Below are 27,711 nucleotides of genomic sequence, written 5' to 3'. Positions count from 1 at the left end.
AAAAAAAAAAAAAGATGTAGAAATGTAAAAATATTTGAGAATTATTACATAGTTGCAGATATAGTTTGCTAACTCCAAGAGGAAACACATTTTATTTTTTGTGATTGTCCTGATGAAACTTTATCCCCCCACAACATGCTGTTAAGCTTGGTTCCCATCATAAGCATATTCCCCCTAAGTGGACTTTTACTGATTTTCCATGGATAATGCAGACCTCCAGTATAAAAGCTATTCCTCCAGGTCTCTCTGCCGACCACTGAGTATCCCAGGGATAAGGATTTTAAGAGTAAGAGCTAAGTAATAAATTCCTGCCCCTAGCAGGGCCGTTCATTTTACGGATGAAAACCTGATCCTTGCTGGGCGTGGTGGCTCATGCCTATAATCCAAGCCATTCAGAAGGCTGAGGCAGGAGGATTGCTTGAGCCCAGGAGTTCAAGACCAGCCTGTGTAATATAGTGAGTCCCCATTCAGAAAAAGAAAAGAAACCTGAGCCTAGCAAGGAGAAGAGAATGGTACCTTTGGTGGCTGTTAAATCACCACCGCTACCCTCAGTCCACATCAGTCCTTTGAATTCCAAAGGCAGGTACTCTCTAGCTCAGAGGTCCTCGAACTTCAGCCTGTGTGGGAGTCACCCATCCTGGCACCTGATTAGAAACACAGACACCCAAGTCCCATTCCAAATATTCTGACTCAATTGACCTGAGATGCACCAAGGAAGTGTATTTTTTTATTTTTATTTTTTGAGCCTTGCTCTGTCGCCCAGGCTAGAGTGCAAGGGCGCAATCTCAGCTCACTGCAACCTCTACCTCATCGGTTTAAGTGATTCTCCTGCCTTAGCCTCCCAAGAGCTGGGATTATAAGTGTGCGGCTAATTTTGTATTTTTAGTAGAGACAGGGTTTCACCATGTTGGCCAGGCTGGTCTCAAACTCCTGACCTCGGGTGATCCACCCACCTTGGCCTCCCAAAGTGCTGGGATTACAGGTGCGTGCCACCACGCCCAGCCAGGAAGTGTATTTTTAACAAGGATCCCTGGGTATAGGCTGCCCTGGTCTCTTTATGGAAGGCACTGTACTTTCTTCCCTTCCCTTCCCTTTCTTCATTTTTCTTGATGACTCTACAGGGCCAAATTCTCTGGGCAGCTGTCTTTCTTCTGTCTTCTGCACTTGGGTAGCAGCATGAGCATCTGGGTGCTTTTTTTTTTTTTTTTTTTTTTTTTTTGAGACGGAGTCTCGCTCTGTTGCCCAGGCTGGAGTGCAGTGGCATGATCTCGGCTCACTGCAACCTCAGCCTCCCGGGTTCACGCAATTCTCCTGCCTCAGCCTTCTGAGTAGCTGGGATTACAGGCGCCCACCACCATGCTAATTTTTTATATTTTTAGTAGAGATGGGGTTTCACCATGTTAACCAGGATGGTCTCGATCTCCTGACCTCGTGATCTGCCCGCTTCGGCCTCCCAAAGTGCTAGGATTACAGGCGTGAGCCACCGCGCCTGGCTAAGTATTTCTCTCCACATAGCGAGATCTCCTTGTCTTTTCCCTGACCTACTTGCCTGGGACTTTGTCCCAGGCGGCATCCCCCTGGTCTGTCCACCTTCAGGCCTTGTGTCTCACCGCCTGTGCTGAATAAGATTGAAATAGAGCCTAAAAATAGTTTAATGGCCCCTGCATTGCAGCCTGCACTTCTCTGTTCTTGGCTGGAAGGCAGCCAAACTGACTCAGCACAAAAGCTCATCTCCAGAAGCCGGGACAAGATTTCAAAGAGGGCTTGTGAGGGCTGGGAAGAGGCTTTGCTTCTTAGACAGGGGATATCAGAGCCTGTCACCCTCCAGAAGAGATTTTCCCTTTCCAGAGAAGCAGACTGAACAAAAGAATCCCTTGGCTTTAAGGAGGATTTTAAAACAAGCGAGAAGCCCAGGTCAATCCCTCCCCTGTGAGCTACTTAGCCATTCATGCCAAGGGTGGGCAGATTAGGGGGAAAGGGACTGGCTTGGGAGGACCTAGAAGCTTCCTCCTCAGCTGGAATTGTCCACGGACTTTTGGCAGATTATACTCTGGGGCATATCGCAGACCGCAGCCCATCTGTCGCTCTCTTGTACCTGGGACTCAGCCTGTGTTCCTTGCTTTTTTTTTTTTCCCCTTTACAATTTTTTTAAAACATTTTTTTTTCTTTTGTAGAGACAAGGTCTTGCTATGTTGCCCAGGCTAGTCTTGAACTCCTGGCCTCAAGCAATCTTCCCACCTCGGCCTCCCAAAGTGCTAGGATTACAGGCGTGAACCCACCATGTCAGGCCTGTTCCTTGCCTTTTTAAAGCTGCCGTCCACATTCCTGATTTATTGGTATCTTCTAGTTTCTCCCTTATTTTCTTCCTAGCTTATCCCTTACTATTTTCTCTGCAAATAACTCCACAGACTCTTTTCATAAACTTAAGGGTGTTCTTGCTGATCACTCCGCAAAGCTAAGCAAAACTCTATCCCTAGGAAGGAGCAGGGCTGCCAGACTTCCAAAGGAACTTTGTCCCTGTCGGTGTAGCCGACTCTGTCCTTTCTATGGCGTTCAGCAGTGTCTCTGATGAGAATAGGCATTAAGCATCTATTTTGGGTCAGGCCCTGTGCTAATCACACTTTTACATTCACTGTCCTATTTAAATGAAACTTAGTGTATAAGTCTTTTGCCTCCTTGGTTAAATTTATCCCTAGGTATTTTATTATTTTTGATACTATTATAAATAGAATTATTTTCTTAATTTCTTTTTCTGATTGTTCATTGTTGGTGAGTAGACATACAATTGTTCTTTGTGTGTTGACTTTGTCCCCTGCTGCTTTACTGAATTCATTTATTAACTCTAGTAATTAAAAAAAACTTTTCTGCCAGTCTGGGCAATATAGTGAAGCCCTGTCTATACAAAAATAAGATTTAAAAATTAGCCAGGCATGGTGGCGCATAATTGTAGTCCCAGCTACTCAGAAGGCAAAGGCAGGAGGATCACATGAGCCCAGAAGTTGGAAGCTACAGTGAGCTATGATCACACAGGTGCACTCCAGTCTTGGGGACAAAGTGAGACCTTGGTCTCTAAATAAATAAATAAATAAAAGGGTTTACTGTGGATTATTTGGGATTTTCTATATATGTGATAATGTCATCTGCAAATAGAGATCGTTCTATTTCTTCCTTTCCAATTTGGATGCCTTTTCTTTTTCTTGCCTAATTTCTCTGGCTAGGACTGCCAGTACTGTGTTGAATACAACTGTGAAAGTGGGCATCTCTGTCTTGTTCCTGATCTTAGGGGAAAAGCTTTCAGCTTTTCACCATTGGTTTTGTGTTTTTTGTTTTAGATACAGGGTTTTGCTCTGTCACCCAGGCTGGAGTGCAGTGGTGCAATCAAAGCTCACTGCAGCCTTCAACTCCAGGGCTCAAGCAATTCTCCCACCTCAGCCTCCCATGTACCTGGAAATACAGGTGTGAGCCATCGTGCCCAGCTCCCCTTCATTCTTTAAGGCAAGGTAGTGTACTACATTAATTGATTTTCTTTCCTTTTTTTTTTTTTGAGACGGATTCTCGCTCTTTCACCCAGGCTGGACTCAGTGGCGCTATCTCGGCTCACTGCACGCTCCGCCTCCCGGGTTCACTCCATTCTCCTGCCTCAGCCTCCCGAGTAGCTGGGACTACAGACGCCCGCTACCATGCCCGGCTAATTTTTTGTATTTTCAATAGAGACAGTTTCACCGTGTTAGCCAGGATGGTCTCGATCTCCTGACCTCATGATCCACCTGCCTCAGCCTCCCAAAGTGCTGGGATTACAGGCGTGAGCCACTGCGCCCAGCCGATTTTCTTTTCTTTTCTTTTCTTTTTTTTTTTTTGAGACAGAGTCTCACTCTGTCGCCCAAGCTGGAGTGCAGTGGTGCAGTCTTGGCTCACTGCAACCTCTGCCTCCCAGGTTCAAGCGATTCTCCTGCTTCAGCCTCCCGAGTAACTGGGACTAGAAGTACTCGCCCCACCATGCCTGGCTAATTTTTGCTTGCTATTTATTTATTTATTTTATTTATTTATTTTTTTTGAGATGAAGTCTCCCACTGTCGCCAGGCTGGATTGTGCAGTGGCACAAACTCAGCTCACTGCAACCTCCGTCTCCCGGGTTCAAGCGATTCTCCTGCCTCAGCCCCCCGAGTAGCTGGGATTACAGGCGCGTGCCACCACACCCAGCTAATTTTTGTATTTTTAGTAGAGATGGGGTTTCCCCATGTTGGCCAGGATGGTCTTGACCTTGTGATCCGCCCACCTTGGCCTCCCAAAGTGCTGGGATTACAGGCATGAGCCACTGCGCCCAGACTGAATTTTTTTTTTTTTTTTTTGAGACAGTTTCACTCTTGTTGTCCAGGCTAGAGTGTAATGGAGTGACCTTGGCTCACTGCAACCTCCGCCTCCTAGGTTCAAGCGATTCTTCTGCCTCAGCCTCCCAAGTAGTTGGGATTACAGGCACGTGCCACCATGCCTGGCTAATTTTTGTATTTTTAGTAGAGACGGGGTTTCACCGTGTTGGCCAGGCTGGTCTTGATCTCCTGACCTTGTGATCCACCTGCCTTGGCCTCCCGAAGTTCTGGGATTACAAGTGTGAGCCACCCCACTTGGCCAGATTTTCTCATTTTTCTTGAGTCAGTTTCAGTAGTTTTTATATTTCTAGGAATTTATGCATTTAATCTAAATTATTGAATTAGTGGACATACGGTTGTTCACAGTATTGCCTTATAATTCCTTTTATTTCTGTAAGGTTGGCATTAATGCCTTCTCTTTTATTCTTGATTTTAGTAATTTGAGTCTTTTCTTCTTTTATCTTAGTCAGTCTAGCTAAAGGTTTGTGAATTTTGTTGGTCTTTTTAGGACCTTTTTTTTTTTTTTTTTTTGAGACAGAGTTTCACTCTTGTCATCCAGGCTGGAGTGCAATCTTGGCTCACTGCAACCTCCGCCTCCCGGGTTCAAACAATTCTCCTGCCTCAGCCTCCCAAGTAGCTGGGATTACAGGCGCTCGCCACCATGCCTGGCTAATTTTTGTATTTTTAGTAGAGATGGAGTTTCACCATGTTGGCCAGGCTGGTCTCGAACTCCTGACCTCAGGTGATCCGCCCTCCTCAGCCTCCCAAAGTGCTGGGATTATAGGTGTGAGCCACTGCGTCCGGCCAAGACCTAACTTTTAATTTCATTGATTTTCTGTGTCATTTTTATATTCTCTATTTCATTAATTTCCACTCTAATCCTTCTTTGGGTTTACTTTGCTCTTCTTTTTTCAATGTCTTAAGGTAGAAATTTAGGTTATTGATTTGAGATCATTCTTCTTTTCCTTTATTTATTTATTTAGAGACAGGGTCTTGCTCTGTCACCCAGGCTGGAGTGCAGTGGTGTGATTGTAGCTCACTGCAGTCTTGAACTCCTGGGCTCTGGCAACCCTCCTGCCTTGGCCTCCCAAGTAGCTGGGACTACAGGTACACGCCACTGTGCCTGGTTAATTTTTTAATTTTTATTTTGTAGTGACGGGATCTCACTATGTTCCCCAAGCTGGTCAGGAACTCCTGGGCTCAAGTGATCCTCCAGCCTTGGCCTCCCAAAGTGCTGGGATTACAGGCGTCAGCCACTGTGCCTGGCCTCATTCTTCTTTTTAAATGTAGACATTTACAACTTTAAATTTCCCTCTAAGCATTGTTTTACTTGCATACCGTAAGTTTTCATATGTTATATCTTCATTTTCGTTCATCTAAAAATATTCTGATTTCCCCTCTGATTTCATCTTTGACCCATTGGTTATTTAGGAGTGTTTGTTTTTCACATATTTGTGACTTTCCCAGATTAGTTATTAACTTTTACTCTAGTGTGATCAGAGAACGTACTTTGTACGATTTCAATTCTTTTAAATTTATGGAAGCTATTTTTTTTTAATTGAGGCTTTTTTTTTTAAAGATGGAGTCTTGCTCTGTTGCTCAGGCTGGAGTGCAGTGGCACCATCTCGGCTCACTGCAACCTCCGCCGCCCGACTTCAAGTGATTCTCCTGCCTCAACCTCCTGAGTAGCTGGGACCTGGTACCGGTGTGCATTACCACATCTGGCTAATTTATAAATTTTTTGGTAGAGACAGGGTTTCACCATGTTTGTGAGGCTGGTCTTGAACTCCTGACCTCAAGTGATCCACCTGCCTCAGCCTCCCAAGTGCTAGGATTATAGGCATGAACCACTGTGCCCAGCCCTAATTAAGGCTTTTTTATTTTTATTTATTTTTAATTCATTTATTATTATTACTTTTTGAGATGGAGTCTCACTCTGTTGCCGAGGCTGGAGTGCAGTGGCGTGATCTCCACTCATTGCAACTTCTGCCTCCCAGGTTCAAGTGATTCTCCTGCCTCAGCCTCCCAGGTAACTGGGATTACAGGTGTGTGCCACCATGCCTGGCTAAATTTTGTATTTTTGGTAGAGACAGGGTTTCTCCATGTTTGCCAGGCTGGTCTTGAACTCCTGACCTCAGGTGATCCACCTGCCTCAGCCTCCCAAAGTGCTGGGATTACAGGTGTGAATATATATATGTATATATGATGGTATACTACTCAACCATAAAAAGGAATGTATTAACAGCATTTGCAGTGACCTGGATGAAACTGGAGACTATTATTCTAAGGGAAGTAACTCAGGAATGGAAAACTAAACATTGTATGTTCTCACTGATATGTGGGAGCTAAGCTATGAGGACGCAAAGGCGTAAGAATGATACAATGGACTTTGGGGACTTGGAAGGAAGAGTGGGAGGGGGGTGAGGGATAAAAGACTCCAAATATGGTGCAATGTACACTGCTTGGGTGATGGGTGCACCAAAGTCTCCCAAATCACCACTAAAAAATGTACTCATGTAACCAAACACCACCTGTTCCCCAATAACTTATGGAAAAATAAAGTAATAAAAATTAAAAACAAACTAGTTTTATTTTTTGCTTTAACATGTTTACTAATATAGATGTAATTTATTTAGCCAGTCTCCTATTAGTGTATAATCAGTATATTTTCTGTTGTTCCAAATTATAACCAAAACTGAGGTACATAGATTTCATATTTGAATATTTCTGTATATACCTAAGTATTTATTTAGGATACATTCTTCAAAGTGGCATACCTTGGTTAAAGACTATCTAAGCTTGAGGCCAGGCACAGTGGCTCAAGCCTGTAATCCTAGCACTTTGGGAGGCTGAGGTGGGTGGATCACGAGGTCAGGAGTTCAAGACCAGCCTGGCCAAGATGGTGAAACCCCATCTCTACTAAAAATACAAAAATTAGCTGGGCACAGTGGCAGGTGCCTGTAATCCCAGCTACTTGGGAGGCTGAGGCAGGAGAATTGCCTGAACCCAGGCGGTGGAGGTTGCAGTGAGCCAAGATCACACTACTGTGCTCCAGGCTGGGCAATAGAGTGAGATTCTATCTCAAAAAAAAAAAAAAAAGACTAAGGTTTTAAGGCTTTTGATATATTTCGTTAGATTGTCTTCCTGGAAGATTTTCATTCCAAGCATTAGCTCCAGAAAATTCAGGTTTCTCTACATAGCTGCTAACACTGGGTATTATCATTCTTTTGGATCTTCTGCTACCTGCACTCCATCCACTGTGGACATTTATCATTACCAATGTCCAACATTCACTCCTTTTTCTCCTGCTAAGAGTACTTCTATTTTCCTTTGGGAAACTCCCCTCTCAAACTCTCAATTTCAGACTGAGGGGTCTGACATATTCCCTAGCTCCAGGGATGAGCAGGTGAACTCTGTCTAGCTCATCAGTGTCTCATGCATTGGCTCAAGGAGGATCATATGGCCCTACCAGCCCAGTGAGAACCAAACCCTGGACTTTTACTGGAATATTGAACAAGAGTTCTTTTTTCTCCCCTGAGTTTGCTAACCTGGTAGGATATAAGCCCAAAGCTTCTGGAGACCACATGGAGATGTTCTGCCTGACGTTAAAGCTGACACAAAAGGAAGCAGCTGAGAGATGGAGAAATGAGTGACAGCTTCCTGGGGAACATCATTTGAGAGTTCCCCTGGATCCAGCCATTCCTGAAGCAATTCAAGCTTCTCTTTTTTTTTTTTTTTTTTTTTTTTTTTTTTTGAGACAGTGTCTCACTCTGTCCCCCAGGCTGGAGTGCAGTGGCACAATCTCAGCTTGCTGCAACCTCCACCTCCCAGGTTCAAGTGATTCTCCTGCCTCAGCCTCCTAAGTAACTGGGATTACAGTCATGCACCATCACACTCAGCTAATTTTTGTATTTTAAGTAGAGACGGGGTTTCACTGTGCTGGCCAGGGTGGTCTCGAACTCCTGACCTCAGGCGATCCATCCACCTCGGCCTCCCAAAGTGCTAGGATTACAGGCATGAGCCACCACGCCCAGCTACGATTCAACCTTCTTGAACTCCTTGGGGTTATGTAAGCTAATATATTTATCAGCAGCAGCAGCATTAGTAAGTATTTTGCACAAACTAGTTTAATTCTGTTTTGGTCACTTGCAACAGAAATAATGCTGATGATGCTGGGTGCTGTGGTTCACACCTGTAATCCCAGCACTTTGGGAGGCTGAGGTTAGTGGATTGCTTGAGCTCAGGAGATTGAGACCTGCCTGGACAACATGGCGAAACTACGTCTCTACCAAAATATAAAAAATTAGCCAAGCGTGATGGCACGCAACTGTGGTCCCATCCCAACTACTCGGGAGGCTGAGGCAGGAGAATCACTTGAACCTGAGAGGTGTAGGTTGCAGTGAGCCAAGATGGTGCCACTGCACTCCAACCTGGGTGACAGAGCAAGACTCTATCTCGATAAATGAATGAATGAATGAATGTAGGTTTTTCTAAGTAAGGGTCACCCAGGGAAGCTTTATTTTATTTTATTTGAGACAGAGTCTCCCTCTGTTGCCCAGGGTGGAGTGCAGTGGCTTCATCATAGTTTGCTGCAGCTTCAAACTCTCAGACTCAGGCTATCCTCCCATCTTAGCCTCTGGGACTACAGGCACAGGCCACCATGGCCAGCTAATTTTTTTTTTTTTTTTTTTTAGTAGAGATGAGGTCTCGCTATGTTGCCCGGGCTGGTCTCAAACTCCTGGGCTCAAGCATTCTGCCCACCTCAGTCTCCCAAAGTGCTGGGATTATAGGCATGAGCCACCACATCCAGCTGAGATGACTATTTTTGATCAGTCACACATCCCTTTGCCCCTTTCCCCATCTTTCCCATTTATTTAGCTTACTTTCTGGTATAATCCATATTCATTGCTTTTATTACTATTAGGTAAATATTGTTACCTGTTGAATTGGCTAGTATATAATAATTACAACTTCTTCTTACACACAATTTTTCACTTCTCCTGGAGTTAATGTTTTCCTCCCTTTTATTACTTGTTTTGTCTTTGAAATTGACTAAATATTCCCGCAGTCTCCAGTAGTTCAATAAAAGACTTTCTTTTCTTTTTTTTTTTTTCCAGATGGAGTCTTGCTCTGTTGCCCAGGCTGGAGTGCAGTGGTGCAATCTTGGCTCACTGAAACCTCCCTGTCCCGGGTTCAAGTGATTCTCCCTGCCTCAGCCTCCCAAGCAGCTGGGACTACAGGTGCGCACCACCATGCCTGGCTAATTTTTGTATTTTTAGTAGAGACAGGGTTTCACCATGTTGGCCAGGCTGGTCTCGAACTCCTGACCTCAGGTGATTCACCTGCCTCAGCCTCCCAAAGTGTTGGGATTACAGGCATGAGCCACTGCACCTGGCCCAGTAAAAGACTTTCAATTCAATTTTACCCACGGTCATTCATGTCAAATAATTTGTCAGGTTTTTTTTTTTTTTTTTTTTTTGTGCCTCAGAACTCCCCCTCTTCCCCCAGACTCACTCCAATCTGGATGGAGGCTACACAGCTATTGTCCATCAATTTCTCTTTGTCATCAACCTAAGGAGTCCCTTCTCTCATCTTTGTGTAGCCCCTGTTTTCTGTATTCCCAGAGTTTCTATTTCCTGGCTTATGCTCACTTTTTGTTGAAGCATGTCCTCCAGTAATTTATGGAAAGTAATTTTTTGAGACTTCGTAAGCCTGAAATTGTCCTTTTTCTACCCTCATGCTTGATTTATCAGTATAGACTTCTAAGCAGTGTCCATCATTGCTGCTGAGAAGTTTGGGGCCATTTTGATTCTGTTTTTTTTTTTTTTTTTTTTTTTTTTTGAGACGGAGTCTCGCTTTGTCGCCCAGGCTGGAGTGCAGTGGCATGATCTCGGCTCACTGCAAGCTCCGCCTCCCAGGTTCACGCCATTCTCCTGCCTCAGCCTCCCGAATAGCTGGGACCACAGGCGCCCACCACCACGCCTGGCTAATTTTTTGTATTTTTAGTAGAGATGGGGTTTCACCGTGTTAGCCAGGATGGTCTCGATCTCCTGACCTCGTGATCTGCCTGCCTTGGCCTCCCAAAGTGCTGGGATTACAGGCGTGAGCCACTGCTCCTGGCTGTGCCATTTGATTCTTGACCCTGCTTTTTCTTCTCTCTCTCTGGAAGCTCTTAGGATTCTCTCTATCCTTGGGTTCTGAAATGTCAGGTCTAGTTTATGTGGTTGAGATAGGTTCAGATGGGCTGACTCCATCCCTGGATCTAGAGTTGGGTATGTGACCCAGCAGGTCCAGTCAGTGTGTTCCATCCTCCCTGGCCACAGTAATTAATTTCAGGATGGGTGCATGACCCAGTCTTCCACTGAGACTCACTTCTCACACTTTGATTTGAACTGGTAGGAACAGAATCTCTTTCCTGTGATTTGTACCTGGAATAATATAAGCCTATCATAGCTGAGGATCTCCATGAAGAGAAGGCCTTTCTGAAAGAGAAGCTTCATTACATCTATTTCTGTGTAACAAATTACCCGAAAACTTGGTGACTTCAAACAACAAACATTTATATCCAGGCACAGCTTAGCTGGGTGGCTCTTCCTTAAAGCCTCTCATAAGGCTGCAATCAGGGTGTTGGATGGGGCTGCAGTCTCATTTGATGGCTCAACTGGGGAGGATCTGCTTCCATTCTCACTCATGTGGTTATTAGTAGAATTCAGTTTCTCACTGAATTTAGGACCTCAGTTCCTTACTGGCTATTGGCCAAAGGCTTCCTTCAGTTCCTTACCATGTAGGCCTCTCCTTAGGGCAACTCTCAACATCGTAGCTGGCTTCCATCAGAGTGAGAGCAAGCAAAACAGAAGCCAGAATCTTCTTGTAAACTACTCACGGAAATGACATTCCACCACTTTGCCATATGCTAGTCATTAGAACGAATTACTAGGTCAGGCCTACATTGAAGGGGAGGGGATTACAAAACAGCATGAATAACAGGAGGTGGGAATTGTTGGGAACAATTTTATTAATTTTTAATTTATCTCTTAGAGACAGGGTTTTACTCTGTCACCCAGGCTGGAGTACAGTGGTAGCAATCATAGCTCACTATAACCTTGAACTCCTGGGCTCAAGCAATCCTCCTGCCTCAGCCTCCCAAGTAGCTAAAACTACAGGCATGCACCACCATGCCCAGTAGTTTGTTTAATTTTTGGTAGACAGGGGCTTTGTTGCCCAGGCTGGATTCAAACTCCTGGCCTCACACAATCCTCCTGCCTCAGCTTCCCAAAGTGCTGGGATAATAGGCACTTGGCCATTGGAGCCATTTTAGAGGAAGCCTATCACAAAAGCCAATACTGAGAGAAACAGACCTGAGAGCCAAGAAGTGACTGAGTCCAGTGACTTCACTTCAGCCCTTGAATGTTGCCATTAGGTTTTGTCATATGCAATATTCTGAAATGTGCTAGAATGGCTGCCCAAACATTAGGGGGAACAATTCATCCCCATTTGCCCAGGACTTTCCTGGTTTTAACACTAAAAGTCCTATATCTTGGGAAACTCCTATATCCCAGGTGAATTAGGACAGTTGACACCTGACATAGCAGTTATTTGATGACCAAAATTAAACCAATGCAGCTTGCTCAGGATTCTATGGCATGGTAGTACAGAAAACATGGACTCTGGAGTTAAGTTTTGGATTCAGATTCTGGCACTATCATTTACTAGCTTTGTGGCTCTGGGCAACTCACCTCGCCTGTTTTCTCACCACTAAAATAGGCATCAGAATCTCTACATTGAAAAATGCCCATGTGGATTGGAGAGAATTTATGTAAAAACATGATTATCTCTGCCAGACATGGTGGCTCACACCTGTAATCCCAGCACTTTGGGAGGCTGAGGCAGGTGGATCACCTGAGGTCAGGAGTTTGAGACCAGCCTGGCCAACATGGCAAAACCCTGTCTCTGCTAAAGAATACAAAAATTAGCCAGGCGTGGTGGCATGCGCCTGTAGTCCCAGCTACTTGGGAGGCTGAGGCAGGAGAATTGCTTGAACCCAGGAGGCGGAGGTTGTAGTGAGCCGAGATGGCGCCACTGCACTCCAGCCTGGGTGACAGAGCAAGACTCTGTCTCAAAAACAAAAACAAAAACATAACATGGTTATCTCAACAAATGGTACTGTCATCATTATAAGTATTTTGAGGTTCTCAACCAACTGTAACTTTTTTCAGACAAGACACATGGGAATTTCCTGGGTCTTAGATCCCAGTTTGATATTCAGATGCTATACTGTGTGCCTGGGCCTGTGGAGGTCCGTCTGATTTCCCTAGGGCAGAACTGCTCAGAAAATTAATGCTTAGGTTTTCATAGAGTCCTTGGGCATGTTTGATAATCAAGAGCCAATCAATCAAAGCCCTTCTCTCTCTGTTTTTTGGAGAAAAGGTCTTACCCTTTCACCCAGACTGGAGTGCAGTGTGTGATCATAGCTCACTACAGCCTTGAACTCCTGGGTTAAAACAATCCTCCCACCTCAGCCCCCCAGTAGCTGGGACCACAGATGTGTGCCCCATACCCAGCTAATTTTATTTTCTTTTTCTTTTTTTTCTCTATCAATCACCCAGGCTGGAGTGCAGCGGCACAATCTCGGCTCACCGCAACCTCTGCCTCCCAGGTTCAAGCAATTCTCATGCCTCAGCCTCCTGAGTGGCTGGGATTACAGGCACCTGCCACCATGCCCAGTTAGCTTTTTTGTTTTGTTTTTTGAGATGGAGTCTTTCTCTACCACCGAGGCTGGAGTGCAGTGACACAATCTTGGCTCACTACAATCTCTGCCCTTCTGGGTTCAAGCGATTCTCCTGCCTCAGCCTCCCAAGTAGCTGGGATTACAGACGTGCACCACCACACCCAGCTAATTTTTGTTTTTTTAGTAGAGATGGGGTTTCACCATGTTGGGCAGGCTGGTCTCGAACTCCTGACCTCAAGTGATCTGCCTGCCTCAGCCTCCCAAAGTGCTGGGATTACAGGCGTGAGCCACCACGCCCAGCCAATTTTTGTATTTTCAGTAAAGATGGGCTTTCACCATGTTGGCCAAGCTGGTCTCGAACTCCTGACCTCAAGTGATCCACCCGCCTTGGCCTCCCAAAGTGCTAGGATTACAGACATAAGCCACCATGCCCAGCTCCAGCTAATTAAAAAAAAAAAACAAAAAACAAAAAACTTTTTTTTAAGAGATGGGGTCTATGTTGCCCAGGCTGATCTCAAAATCCTGGGCTCAAGTGATCCTCCCACTTTGGCCTCCCAAAGTGTTGGGCTCATTGGCATGAGCCATCATGTCCTGCTGGAGTGTTTGTTTTTTGTTTTTTTTTTTGAGACGCAGTCTCACTCTGTCGCCAGGCTGGATCTCAGCTCACTGCAAGCTCCACCTCCCGAGTTTAAGCGATTCCCCTGCCTCAGCCTCCTGAATAGCTGGAACTACAGGCGCACGCCACCATGTCTGGCTAATTTTTGTATTTTTAGTAGAGATGGGGTTTCATCATGTTGGCCAGGCTGGTCTTGAACTCCTGACCTTGTGATATGCCCACCCTGGCCTCCCAAAGCTGGGATTACAGGTGTGAGCCACCACACCTGGGCAAGCGTGCATTTTTATTTATTTATTTATTTTTTTGAGACGGAGTCTTGCTCTGTCGCCCAGGCTGGAGTGTAGTGGCGCCATCTCCGCTCACTGCAAGCTCCGCCTCCCAGGTTCACGCCATTCTCCTGCCTCAGCCTCCCGAGTAGCTGGGACTACAGGTGCCCACCACCACGCCCGGCTAATTTTTTGTATTTTTAGTAGAGACAGGGTTTTACCATGTTAGCCAGGATGGTCTCGATCTCCTGACCTCGTGATCCACCTACCTGGGCCTCCCAAAGTGCTGGGATTACAGGCGTGAGCCACCGCGCCCGGCCAAGCGTGCATTTTTATAATACTCCCAGGTGATGCTGCTGAAGACAGTCCACAGTCCACACTGAGAAACCACATACCAGGCCACCTGTACAGATCATAAAAATAAAGCCCCTAGCACACTGCCTGGCACATGGTTTGTGCCCAGGAAACAGCACTAGAGAGACCATGCAAGTCGCTCTAGACCCACGAGGGAACTGATGCTTGCTCAGTCCCATGCAGTCTGGGGTGTCACATCCAGACCTCCCCTGCCCTGCCCCCAGCCTTCCCAGGGAAAGAGAATAACAGCAGCAACATTTTCATTTTATAAGCACTTGGTTTTATTGCACAGAAGCAATTGAAAGTGAACTCCAGTGGAAAGTGCGCCCTGGCATAATTCAGTGGCCAGTCCCCGGCCCCACCTGGACCGCTCTTCCAGAATAGAGAGCTCTGGGCAAGGGCTTGACCACTCCTTTGGAAAACAGAAGGCATTTGGGAATAGGTTAAGACATCTCAAGCATAATGTATTTCTAACTGCTCATTCATTATTGCGGTCATCTGTCAGTTGCACATAGAGGCAATAAATGCACTTATTTGGAAAGGAGGGGGGCAGTTTTTATAGTCAAGTGTTTACGTGTGGCATTCGGCATGTATCACATTCAGCTACATAAGCTATCATAATTGTCCATCGCCTGGGGAGGGCCTGGGGGCAGGGGCCTGGGAGTGCCCTCTCTTGCTAACATATTGCTAACAGAAATTCCTGTTTGAAGAAGGAGGCCCCGTCATCTAAGCAGTTTCTTCTTACATAAAGACAGAAAAAGTGAAAATTGTGTTACTCTGATCCTTGAGCTCCGGGACTCTTCTGAGTTTCTTTGGCTGTTCCGGATGTTCCTTTCTCCCTGCCTTACTTCCCCTTGGCGGCCTTGTCTTCTGTGGCCTTCTCTGGAGGCTTGCTGTCTTTTTGGTCTGTGCTGGAGGATTTTTCAGCCTTTTCTGCCTTAGGCTTGCTAGGCTCTTTTGAGAGGGTCTTGTCATCTTCCTTGGCTTTGGCCTCTGTCTTGGGTTTCTCCTCAGGCTTCTTGGCCTTCTCCTCCTTGGTGTCTTTTTTCTCCGGTGCTGCCTCCTTCTTCTCTGCTGGTTTGCTGGGTTCCTTGGCCTTGGCATCATCTGGTTCCTTCTTGGCTACCTCTGTCTTTTCTTTGGGTTTAGCGTCTTCCTTCACCTCCACCTTGGCAGGAGCCTCCTTCTCTGGGGTGGGGACTTTTTTCTTATCTTCAGCCTCTTCCTTCTTGGCTTCAACTTTGGATTCTTTGGGCTTTTCGACAGCAGGTTCCTTCTTCTCCTCCACCTTGGGCTTTGGAGCCTCCTTCTTGGGTGCCTCCTCTTTCTTGCTGTCCTTCTTCTCCTCTGTTTTTGGTGTGGCAGGGGCTTTCTCTTCCTCTGCCTTCTTTGGGGGCTCTTTGACTTTCACCTCCTGGGGCTTCTCCTCCTCCTTCACTGGGGACTTCACCTCTTCCTTTTTTGGGATCTCCTTCTCAGGGGCCTTGGCATCCTCCTTCAGGGGAGATTTCGCCTTCTCTGGGGACTTGACCTCCTCCTTGACAGGGCTTTTGGCCTTTTCAGGGAATTTGTCTGCAGGGGACCTTGCTTCCTCCTTCGCTGGAGTCTTGGCTTCTGGAGACTTCACATCAAGAGTCTTGGCCTTCTCTGGGGACTTGGCCTTCTCTGGGGACTTAGCTTCTTCCTTCACTGGGGACTTGGCCTTCTCGGGGGTCTTTGCTTCTTCCTTCACTGGGGACTTGGCCTTCTCAGGGGACTTTGCTTCTTCCTTCACTGGGGACTTGGCCTTCTCAGGGGACTTTGCTTCTTCCTTCACTGGGGACTTGGCCTTCTCAGGGGACTTTGCTTCTGCCTTCACTGGGGACTTGGCCTTCTCAGGGGACTTTGCTTCTGCCTTCACTGGGGACTTGGCCTTCTCAGGGGACTTGGCCTCTTCCTTCTCTGGGGACTTGGCCTTCTCAGGGGACTTTGCTTCCTCCTTCGTTGGAGACTTGGCCTTTTCCGGGGACTTGACCTCAGCTGGAGATTTTGCTTCTTCCTTCACTGGGGACTTGGCCTCAGCCGGTGACTTTGCTTCTTCCTTCACTGGGGACTTGGCCTTCTCTGGAGACTTGGCCTCAGCCGGTGACTTTGCCTCTTCCTTTGCTGGGGACTTGGCCTTCTCGGGGGACTTGACCTCAGCTGGAGATTTTGCTTCCTCCTTCTCTGGGGACTTGGCCTCAGGCGGTGACTTTGCCTCTTCCTTTGCTGGAGACTTGGCCTTCTCAGGGGACTTGACTTCGGCTGGGGATTTTGCTTCCTCCTTCTCTGGGGACTTGGCCTCAGCCGGTGACTTTGCCTCTTCCTTTACTGGTGACTTGGCTTCCTTCTCTGGGGATGCAGCCTCTTCTGCTGGGGGAGACTTTGTTTCTTCTTCTCCCCCTTCTGCCTCCTCTTCTTCACCCCCTTCTTCCTCCTTGCCCTCCTCCTCTTTGGCCTCTTTCTCCTCTTCTTCAGTCACTTCTTCAGTCACTTGGGTCTCCTCTGTCTGTTCCTCCACAATCACAGTTTCTTTCTCAGACTTCTCCACCACTTTGATCTTCTCTTCGCTTTTCACCTTTATGTGAGTGGACACAGAGGGAATTTTGGGGAGTCCTTCTGGAAGCGAGAAAGGAATTGGGCCAAAGCCAATCCGACACTCTTCACCTTCCAGGAGTTTTCTGCAGGATGGATCACGGAACACATTAGTATAAACTCAGGGCAAATTCACTATTTGGGTTCTTCCTAGACTATCCTGAAGGTCACTGACATCGAATGATATGGGTTTTGGTGGAACAGGAATGTGAATGGTGGGCATTATGAGACTAGAGAAAGTCACTTGGCAAATCATTCCAGTGACCACCCAGAATGTGTACCCCGGTGGGACTGGTCTTTTTTTGTTGATGTTGTTGTTTTTGAGAGGGTCTCACTGTGTTGCCCAGGCTGGAACAGCTGGTCTTCTTCAACACAGCTAAGCCTGAAACTTTTGAAATAAAACAACTTTTGCCCCATAAAAAATGGCCCTCAAGAGAAAGCTCCTAAATAAATTTAACAAAAGTTAAATTTATTGTCCCTCAAACTAAAATATTATTCAAGAGAACCCTGGGAGCCTGAGCAAACAATTCCACTTTTTTTTTTCCTTTTTTTGAGACGGAGTCTTGCTCTGTCACCTAGGCTGGAGTCCAGTGGTACAATCTCAGTTCACTGCAACCTCTGCCTCCCAGATTCAAGCAATTCCCCCAGCTTCAAGCAATTCTCCTGTCTCAGCCTACTGAGTAGCTGGGAGTACAGGCGCACGCCACCACGTCCAGTTAATTTTTGTATTTTTAGTAGAGACGGGGGTTTCACCATATTGGTCAGGCTGGTCTCGAACTCCTGACCTCAGCCGATCCACCCGCCTAGGCCTCCCAAAGTGCTGGGATTACAGGTGTGAGCCACCGCACCCGACCACAATTCTACTTTTATAAATTTGGGTTTAAGAGGTCTTAGAACGCTCCCATTTGAATCGCGAGTGTCTCTCATCACCCTGTATTACCATCTTTTGAGTTTCAGGAATAGGGTAGAGGCCGCAGTTTCTCCTCTTGGCTTTGCTCCTCACTAGATGGGTGACCTTGGCCAAGACACACCAACTCTTTGAGCCTCAATTTCCTCACTGGAAAAAGAGGGTCATTAGAGTCCCTACGTCAGAGGGTTGTTTCAGTGAGACAATGAATGGAAAAGACTTGGCAGAATGCTTGTCTCAGAGTAAGTGTGGGGGTTACCCCTCAGACTAGTACTTCCCAAATTTAGCAGCACACAGATGACCGGGGATCTTATCAAAATGCAGATTCTGATTCAGCAGGTCTGGGGAGGGGCTGAGCGTCTGTCTTTTGTTGTTGTTGTGTTGTTGTTATTTTTGAGACAGTGTCTCACTCTGTGATGACAGGCTGGAGTGCAGTGGCACGATCATAGCTCACTGAAGCCTCCAACTCCCAGGCTCAGGTGATCCTCCCACGTCAGCCTCCTGAGTAGCTGAGACTAAAGGCATGTGCCACCATGCCCAGCTATTTTTTTTTTTTTTGTATTTTTTGTAGAGATGGGGTTTTGCCATGCTGCCCAGCTTGGTCTCTGAACTGAAACAATCTGTCTGCCTTGGTCTCCCAAAGTGCTGGGATTACAGGCATGAGTCACTACACCCAACCAAGAGACTATCTTTCTGATAAGCTCTTGAATGATGCCAATTCTGCTGGTTCATGTGCCATGCTTTGAGTAGCAAGATTACAGACGAGAGCCAAGAGGTAGGAAGCCACAGGTCACCAGTCAGAACTGGGACAAGTCCTCAGGGAATCAGTCCTGCTCCCTAGCCCTGCTCCCCCCGGTCTTATTCCTCAGACTGGATTTCTCAAGGCTGCCACTGACTAAGGGTTCCCTCTGTAGCAGCCCAGTGGTACCTGTGCTTCCTGGATTAGCTTGGGAATGGGATTAGCTCATCTTCCTGACAACCCTATGACATGGTTGCCCTTATTATCATCTCCACTTTATATCCCCAAGAAATGAATGCTTGCAGAGCTAAGAAACTCTAAAGGACAGAGTTTGAAAGGTCCCTGACTCAAGCACCTCTTTTCCCTTCAAAGCAGGCCTCTGGCTGGCTGGATCTGGGGAGGGGATAAGGAACTTCCACCGTCTAAATCATTTCAGAATGAAAGTAAGTCACTCTCAAGACTCATTGGCTGGGCACAGTGGCTCACGCCTGTAATCCCAGCACTTTGGGAGGCCGAGGTAGGCGGATCACCTGAGGTCAGGAGTTCGAGACCAGCCTGGCCAACATAGCGAGACCCAGTCTCTACTAAAAATACAAAAAATAGCTGGGTGTGGTGGCATGTGCCTGTAATCCCAGCTACTCGGGAGGCTGAGGCAGGAGAATCACTTGAACTCAGGACACAGAGGTTGCAGTGAGCCGAGATAATGCTGCTGCACTCCAGCCTGGGCAACAGAGTGAGATTCCATCTCAAAAAAAAAAAAAAAAAAAAAGACTCATGTCTCTCAGAGTAAAAGAGTGGCTGCCAGGGGCTGAAGGAAGGAGAGAATGATAATGACGGTTTCTTGGGTATGGAGTTTCAGTTTGCGATGATGAAAACAGTTCTGGAGACAGACAGTGGTTATGGCTGCACAGTAATGTGAAAGTACTTAATATCACTGAACTGCCTACTTAACATTGTTGAATGGGGCTGGTCATGGTGGCTCTCGCCTGTAATCCCAGGACTTTGGGAGGCTGAGGTGGGCAGAGGGCTTGAGTTCAGGAGTTTGAGACCAGCCTGGCCAACATGGTGAAACCCTGTTTCTACTAAAAAAAAAAAAATAAAAATTAGCCAGGCGTGGTGGCGGGCACGTGTAATCCCAGTTACTCAGGAGGCTGAGGCATGGGAATCGCTTGAACCCAGGAGGGAGAGGCTGCAGTGGGCAGAGATCGCACCACCATACTTCAACCTGGGCAACACAGTAAGTCTGTCTCAAAAAATAAATAAAAAATAAAAGAAATTGGTTCAATGGTAAATTGTATGTTTTGTCTATTTTGCCGCAATTTAAAAAGAATTTTGTCCCTAAGACAGGTAGGCTGCCTAAACGGGGTCTTGAAACCCAAGGCTTAGCGTCTCGCAGGAACACAAGCTTTCTTCACCATGTGACAGCCCCTGTGCGTCTCACCTGTAAGCGGCTATCTCTATATCCAGAGCCATCTTGACATTGAGCAGGTCCTGGTATTCTCGCAGCTGGGCGGCCATCTCCCACTTGGTGTTCCTCAGCTCAGCGTCCAGCTGCTGAATGGCTTCCTGGGAAGGAGAGGTGACACACATCACATGCCAGCCAGTGTCTGGCCCTCAGTACCAGAGAAGCTGCGGCGGGCTGTGCGACCCCAGAGCAGGCCCATCCAGCCAGGCTCACTGGGGCCAACCCCAACCCTGCCAGAGCTGTAGGGTCCTCATTAGTGGACGTGGAACAATCTGGAGCAAAAATCCTGCTGTATAGTGACCTCAGACTGGAGAAGGTCTGAAATGAAATTCATCAGATGTCAACAGTTGTTCCTGCTGGTTTGGCTGGCAGGATAATGGGATAACATTTAGAGATCTTGAGCTTAGAAAGTGCTCAGTGAGGCCGGGAGTGGTGGCTCAAGCCTGTATTCCCAACACTTTGGGAAGCTGAGGAGGGTGGATCACTTGAGGTCAGGAGTTTGAGACTAGCCTGGCCAACATGGTAAAACCCTGTCTCTACTAAAAATACAAAAATTAGCGGGATGTGGTGGCACATACCTGTAATCCCAGCTACTTGGGAGGCTGAGACAGGAGAATTGCTTGAACCCAGGAGTCGGAGGTTACAGTGAGCCAAGATCATACCACTGTACTCCAGCCTGGGAGACATAGCGAGACTCTGGTGGTTCATGCCTGTAATCCCAGCATTTTGGAAGGCTGAGGAAGGAGGATCACTTCAGCCCAGGAGTTTGAGACCAGCCTGGGCAACACAGTGAGACCTCATTTCTACAAAACAATTAAATAATTAGCTGGGCATGGTGATGTGCACCTATAGTCCCAGCTACTCAGGAAGCTGAGGGAGGAGGATTACTTGAGCCCGGAAGTACAAGACTTTAGTGAGCTATGATCTCGCTGTCACATTCTGGCTTGGGCAACAGCGTGAGACTGTGTCTCAAAAAAGAAAAAAAAAAAAACCCAGTGGGAGCAGGGCCTTGCCTGCTTTTGCTCCTGTCTTTCTCCAGTGTGCCACAGTGTCCACCACACAGTCAGGGTTTGGTAGGCATTGATGACTGCCTCAGCCTTCTGAGTAGCTAGGACTGTAGGCACACACAACCATACCCAGCTAATTTTTTTAATTTTTTTAAATTTTCTTGAGACAGAGTCTCGCTCTGTCGCTCTGTCGCCCAGGCTGGGTGCAGTGGCACGATCTCGGCTCACTGTAACCCCCATCTCCCAGGTTCAGTTGAAGCGATTCTCCTGTCTCAGCCTCCCAAGTAGCTGGGATTACAGGCACGCACCACCATGCCCAGTTAATTTTTGTATCTTTTTAGTAGAGACAGGGTTTCACCATGTTGGCCAGGCTGGTCTCAAACTCCTGACCTCAAGTGATCCACCCGCCTTGGCCTCCTAAAGTGCTGGGATTACAGGCATGAGCCACTAGGCCCAGCCGCCAGTTATCTTTAAAAGAAGGAATCTGCTAAGGTCTTCCCCTGGCCACCCAAGACACTGGTTGCTGTTTACAGAATGTCCACTGCGACCAAGACCAACCTAGTGAGTGGCAGAGCTGGGATTCAAATCTAGAAAGATTCGAATGTTGAAGACCTTGCCGAGCTCATTCACAAGTTCACACTAATCTCATTTAAAGTATATCTCTTTAGGCCAGGCACGGTGCCTCACACCTGTAATCCCAGCACTTTGGGAGGCTGAAGTGGGAGGATTGCCTGAGCCCAGGAGTTTGAGACCAGCCTGGCCAACATGGTGAAACCCTGTCAATACTAAAAATACAAAAGTTAGCCAGGTGTGGTGGCATGCACCTGTAGTCCCCGCTACTCGGGAGGCTGAGGCACGAGAATCTCTTGAGCCCAGGAGGCAGAGGTTGCAGTGAGCTGAGATCATGCCACTGCACTCCAGCCTGGGCAACAGAGTGAGACTCCATCTCAAAATAAATAAATAAATAAATAAATAAATAAATAAATAAAAGTCTATCTCTTTAATCTTTCCAGCTCTGCAAAGCAGGCTTTTTTTTTTTTTTTTTTTTCATGGCTGGAAAGGAACTCAGATTCAGAGAATTAGATAACTTTCCTAGGGTCACACAGCTGGAAAGTGCTGGTATGTCTGACTCCAAGGGCCACAATCTTAACCACTACAACCCCACTCAGTGAGGGACAGTAACTTGTCCAGGGCTACCCAATCAGGTAAGGCAGTCTGGCTGTCTGCCTTGCCCCTGCCCACCTGGTAGGAGGCAATGTCGGCCTGATGACGGTCCTCCAGCTCAGAGCGCTGCCTCTCCAGTGAGTCCTTGGTGCTTTTCAGTGCCTCCAGCTCTGTGGTCCTGGCCTGCAGCTGACGCCGGTACTCAGTTATCTCCTCCTGCGCTGAGCGCATAGCGTCTGTGTTCACCTTGGCTGCCTCCGACAGTCGGTCCAGCCTCACTGGGGGAGAAGGTAGCAGGGCACAGGGTTAGACACACCTGGACTGGGTTCTAATGCCCAGATTTTTTTCTTTGTTCTTTTTCTTTTTTTTTTTTTTTGAGACGGATTCTCGCTCTCGCCCAGGCTGGAGGGCAGTGGTGCACTCTCAGCTCGCTGCAAGCTCCGCCTCCTGGGTTCAAGCGATTCTCCTGCCTCAGCCTCCCGAGTAGCTGGGATTACAGGCACCTGCCACTACGCCCAGCTAATTTTTTGTATTTTTAGTAGAGATGGGGTTTTGCCACATTCGCCAGGCGGTCTTGAACTCCTGACCTCATGATTCGCCCACCTCGGCCTCCCAAAGAGCTGGAATTACAGGTGTGAGCCACCACGCCCGGCCTAATGCCCAGATTTTGAAGGTGACACATGTGGATTGACCTACTGCGTGTGCCAGACACCATCCTGTATGCTTGACTCACTCTGTCCTGTGAGATAAAGGCAAGTGACTACTCCCCAAGGCCACCCAGCTAGTGAGTGGCAGAGCTGGGACTCAAATCCCCAAAGATCATGCTCTGTCTCCCCCAGTGTGGGATCCAAAAACCCTGCAGGGCAGAGGAAACCCTGGTCCTAATGCCTGGTCCAGCTCCCTAGCAAGGGCCTGGCAGTGCTGGTGGTTCAGATGTGATACCTGGCCCATGGGGCTTAACACTGAGCTGGAGGCTGCAGGTTTGTGGCTGAACAAGTTAATGAGCTTGTGACCTTTAGGAGGCATGAGGGTACCGTGAGCAATCAGGTCACCTTGTAGCCATGGTCCCTTCCTTACAGGTTTCTGCGCACAGTCCAAGGTCAGTGCAGAGCCCGTGGCCTGGGTGCCAACCCCTGTCCCTTTCTCCACCTAGCTGAGCATTGCCCCTGAGCATTGGTAGCCACACCCCGGCCCCCGCCAGCAACCCGCTCGTGGTTCCCAGGAAACCTTCCAGAGGCAGTGGAGGTCTGGAGACTGGTCTTTAGCTCGTAAAAGTGAACATCCTGAATCCCCAGATAGTGGCACTCAGGGCACAAGTCTTGGCGGGGAGGAAGGAAGCCAGCTGAGTGGGCCAGTACAATCCTGGGACGTCTGCCCCTACGACTGGCAAACCCAAAAGAGGTTTGCGCAGGGAGGGGCCTTGCTGCGGAGATGGAGGAGGGGATGGTTCTGCTCTGCAGAGGAGTGGAAAAGGAACAGAAAAAGCTATGCATCAAAATCCCAGCTTTCCCTGCTAGTGCTGGCAAAGACTTAGAAACCATCCAGGTGGTTGGAGATTCTCAACTATTGTCGATCACAGATGCTTTTGGAAAATCACTGAAGCCTCTGCCCTCTCTCTCAAAAACAACGCAAAGTTTTACAGACAGTTTCGTGAGACATCATGGAACTCCCCGGATTAAGCAGCCCAGTTGATCTACCCTCCTCTTTCAACTCAAAAAGAAATGAAAACCAGAGAGGGCAAGTGTTGGTCAAGGTCACCCTGCAGCTGCTGGGCACAGCCTCAGGGCAGCGCAATCTAGCTGACTCAGGGCTGCAAGGAGTTGGGGGAGGGGCAGACTTGGGAGGCTCCCAGCTTCCCTAAAGGAGAAAGGGGACATTAAAACATGAAAGGGCCCACCAGCCACCTCCGCCACAGGCAACAACTGACTGTAGTAATGGTTCCCTCTAGGAAGAAAGGATGCGAAAAGGTCCTGACCCACCCCCACGTGGAAGATTTAAGGTAGGAACGTTAAGCACTGAGCAGGTAGTGGGAAGGAGCCTGGTAGGGGTGAGAGGAATAGAGTTTCTTGCGGGGTGTAGGAGAGGGCATGGCAGCATTGGCGGGGAAGCCTTGCTACTTAGAAGGGCTAAGAGTCTCCAGCGCTTGCAGACCAGAATCCTGCACCACTTTTTTCCTGTAGAGGAAACTTGTTTTTTTCTTGACGGGGGAGGGATCTCAGAGTGGGGTCGCCTAAGCTTGGGGTAGAGAGCAGCAGGGGGCCCAGAGTTGAAGTACAGCCGTAAAGAACCTGGAAAGGGGGAACCGAAGGACAACCCAGAGTTGGGGCGTCCCACAAGAGACCCAGAGTAAAACTGCGATTTAACTAGGGGCATGCACTTTGCAGAGGGAAGGTGAGCAGCGCGCCACTCCACGCGCAGTCCGGCAGCGCCCCCTTGGGTCACGCAGCCCAAAAGTTCGCTGCGGGGTCAGCAGGGGCGCCCCTCCCCCCACCCGCGCGCCTGCGTACCTCGGAACCACTCCTCGGACTGCAGCGTGCTCTGCACCGCGTGGCCTTCAAGCTGCGCGCGAATCTCGCGCAGCGCCGACGTCACGTCGCACTTCAGGGCGTCGCGCGTCTCGGCCTGCATCTGCGCCTGCGCGGCGCCGGAGCCCTGGATCTGGCCGAGCAGCTCGCCCACCTCTTCCTGGTGGTGGCGCCGCAGGTAGCCGCACTCCTCCTGCAGCGCCTGCGCCTTCTTCTGCAGGTCCACGCGCGCCGCCTCGGCCTCCTGCGCGAAGCGCGCCAGCGCGCGGGCCGCCGCCTCGGCCTCCTCTCGCTGCCGGGCCTCGTCGTCTAGGCGCTGGCGCACGTGCGCGATGTCCTCGAGCAGGTGCTCCTGCTCCAGGCGTAGCTGACCGCGCGCCGCGCCCAGGCGCAGCACCGCGCCGCGCATCTCGCGGACCTCGCGCTCGTACAGCTCGCCCATAGCGGAGCGGCCCGCCTGCTGCTGCCGCAGCGCCGCAGCCTCGCCCTCCAGGCTGCGGTTGTGCGCCTCCAGCTGCCGCACCTTGTCGATGTACCCGGCGAAGCGGTCGTTCAGCGCCTGCAGCTGCTCCTTCTCACTGCGTGAGGTGGCCACCGCCACCATGCAGCCCTCCGGCCCGTTGCTCAGCGTGTCCAGCGAGTCGGTGCTTGAGGCGGCGCCTGCGCCACGGAAGCGGCTGGGCGAGGCGGACACGGAGCTCACGGACGTCCGTGTCCACGAGTGGAAGCCGCTGGAGGAGCCAGCGGCGGAGCGCGTCCCGCCTGCGCCACCCTTTCGGGCTAGCGCGTAGTGGAGGCTGCCGCCGCCATGCAGCGGCGCGAACGGGGCGCCCAGCAGCGCGTCCGCGCCGCCGAAGCTCATCATGGCCTGAGCAGGTGCGCGAGGCCGGGACGGGGCGGGAGGCACTGCGGCAGCACCAGGGCGCCGGCCCTTTTATAGCCGCCGCGGCCGGGTCCAACCCCTTGGCAGTGAGAGGGTGGGGAGGAGGGCCCCGCCCTCTCCGCCTCCTCCCCTGCGGCCCCCCGGCCGACCGGCTCCGCCGCAGTGAGAGGGGCGGGGCAGGGGACCGAGGAGGGAAGGGGAATCGACGCTGCGTCAGAGGAGACCCTCGAGGTCGGGGAAGCGGGCAGAGGACTCCCGGAGTGGGCCAGTGAGGACCCCCGGGTGCGCGTCGGAAGAGCCTGCGAGTGTGTTCGGAATAAGAAAGGGGACTTGAAACAGGGAGAGGACAAGGAGAAACCTGATGGGAATAGGGGCAGGATGCCCTCGGGATGGAGCAATGGAAGATTGCAGTCATTAGGATGAGGGGATCCCTGTATGAGACAGGACACGAGGCTTTCCAAATAGTTAAGAGAGGCTTTCAGGATAGGGGGTGCAGAGACTGTGCAGCCAGCCCCGGAACAGAGGAGGGAGCAAGGCAGTCCTGAATGGGAGCATGGACGCTCCATAGAACGGAGACAGGAGACCCCTGACCGGGGGAGGTACAGTGTTCTCCTAACATCTAGAGGACCCACTTGGAGAGCGCTCAGGAAACTCCGCGGCCAGCCCCGGAATAGATGAAGGGGGACCTGGAGTTGGGGAGAATAGCAAGGCTACCCTGAATGGGGGTATGGGAGACACTGCAGAGGATGGAGAGAGGGAACCCCGGATGGGTGGGGTTGGGGGGAGGCAAGGCGTTCTCTAAAAAGTCTGCAGTGGCCCCCGAGAGAGGAGATGGGAGACCCTGCTGCCAGCCCCAGTAAAGGGGACGGACCCTCAGCGAAGCGGGCAGAAGGTCCCCTGAACAGGCAGGAGAAAGCTGGGCTGAGTTTGAGGGGCAGAGAACCTACAGTGGGGGTACCGTAGGAGGGCTTGGGCATGAAGTTGAGAGAGCTGGCCCCTGTGTGGGGTGGGGGGAAATGATGGGTGTCACCCGAGCCAGCTTCTGCACACTGGGGTCAGCTAGGCAGTTTGCTGGTCGAATGACCTTGGACAAGCTGTGTCCTCCCACCCTTGTTTTTCCATCTGTACAACGAAGGGGTCTTGCCCCAGAGACAAGCTCCAACTCCTGACCCCCGACTGCCCCAGGAAGTTCCACTTTGAGGGGTCTCTGGCTGAACTGGGGATGGGGAACCCACATCTTGCCGTTCTGTCAACACTAGGAAGTCCTCTTTTCTCCCTCCCCCTCCCCATCTTCTCAGCCTCAACTTGTCCTCTCTTCCCCCACTCCTGTAACAGACAAGCAGGCGCCTGAGTCGGCATCCCTTCTCTCTTACAGGGAAGTGATGAGATGCTTTCTGAGTACCAAAGTCCCTCACCCCAATAGGATGTCAGGTAGAAGAAGGGGTCCCCAGGATTTAGGGGGCCCTGCAACGGCTGTGACATTTGGCTCTTTATTGGTTTTGGCTCATGTTTTATGCTGTGGGAGTGGGGGTGGTGCTGCGGCTGGCGCTTCAGCACCGGGGACAGGGCCTGCTCTTTGTTGGGCGTGGGGCGGGGAAAGAGATTAACCCTCTGCTTTTACTTTAGGGGAAGGAAGGGAGGGACACTGTGCTGAGGGGACCCGAGAGGGGAGGCAAGTGATCCAGCAGGGTCACATAGTGAGCCAGGGACCCCTCCCTGGACTTCCTGTCGGGGGTCCAGTTCCGTGTTTTCTGGGCTGTTCCCCTCCTGCTTAGGGACCCCTGCGAAAGGACCCCTGGGGATGCTGGGAGCCCTGAGACGCCCTTGAGAGTTTGTAGACTCGTACTTCCACTCTGAACCTCCCCCAGGCAGTTATCTCAACACCCACTACACCCCTACTTTACGCGGGTTTTCCTGCTCCAGGATCCCCAGGACAGAACAGACATATCCCCCAGGAAAGACCTCTGCCAGTTCCTTTCTCTTTGCCCTCTGTCTCCTTCCAGCCCCCTAGTTCTAAGCAGACCCTCAGAGCTGGGAAATTGATGGCGCTGTCCCTTTAACCACTTTTTACTGGAAG

The 27,711-nt window shown here is 49.5% G+C and overlaps 1 protein-coding gene across 2 annotated transcripts, besides 2 other annotated features; it reads right to left on the bottom strand.

The window, feature by feature from the left end:
* NEFH (neurofilament heavy chain) lies at positions 14,489–25,661 on the bottom strand. Of its 2 annotated transcripts, XM_011530200.3 has the most exons (5): positions 24,734–25,661; positions 22,305–22,504; positions 20,032–20,156; positions 16,587–17,030; positions 14,589–16,298 (listed from the first exon to the last, which is right to left on the bottom strand). In XM_011530200.3, exons 1-5 carry the CDS (start codon positions 25,614–25,616, stop codon positions 15,176–15,178), a joined length of 2,775 nt encoding a protein of 924 aa, XP_011528502.1. In that variant the 5' UTR covers positions 25,617–25,661; the 3' UTR covers positions 14,589–15,175. The 2 variants fall into 2 exon arrangements, with proteins under 2 accessions (NP_066554.2, XP_011528502.1); NM_021076.4 differs by having other exon boundaries at positions 14,489–17,030.
* Positions 23,785–24,639: an enhancer, noted in NCBI's record as "NANOG-H3K27ac-H3K4me1 hESC enhancer chr22:29877229-29878083 (GRCh37/hg19 assembly coordinates)". NCBI's record gives its function as "activates a minimal SCP1, AML or CMV promoter by ChIP-STARR-seq in naive H9 embryonic stem cells {active_cell/tissue: H9 hESC(naive)}" and the evidence as "EXISTENCE:reporter gene assay evidence [ECO:0000049][PMID:30033119]".
* Positions 27,200–27,701: an enhancer, noted in NCBI's record as "H3K4me1 hESC enhancer chr22:29874167-29874668 (GRCh37/hg19 assembly coordinates)". NCBI's record gives its function as "activates a minimal SCP1, AML or CMV promoter by ChIP-STARR-seq in naive H9 embryonic stem cells {active_cell/tissue: H9 hESC(naive)}" and the evidence as "EXISTENCE:reporter gene assay evidence [ECO:0000049][PMID:30033119]".

Source organism: Homo sapiens, chromosome 22 (assembly GCF_000001405.40).
Source record: "Homo sapiens chromosome 22, GRCh38.p14 Primary Assembly".
Taxonomy (NCBI): domain Eukaryota; kingdom Metazoa; phylum Chordata; class Mammalia; order Primates; family Hominidae; genus Homo; species Homo sapiens.
Note: the sequence above shows the minus strand (reverse complement) of the source record. Positions and strands in the feature narration are given on the sequence as shown.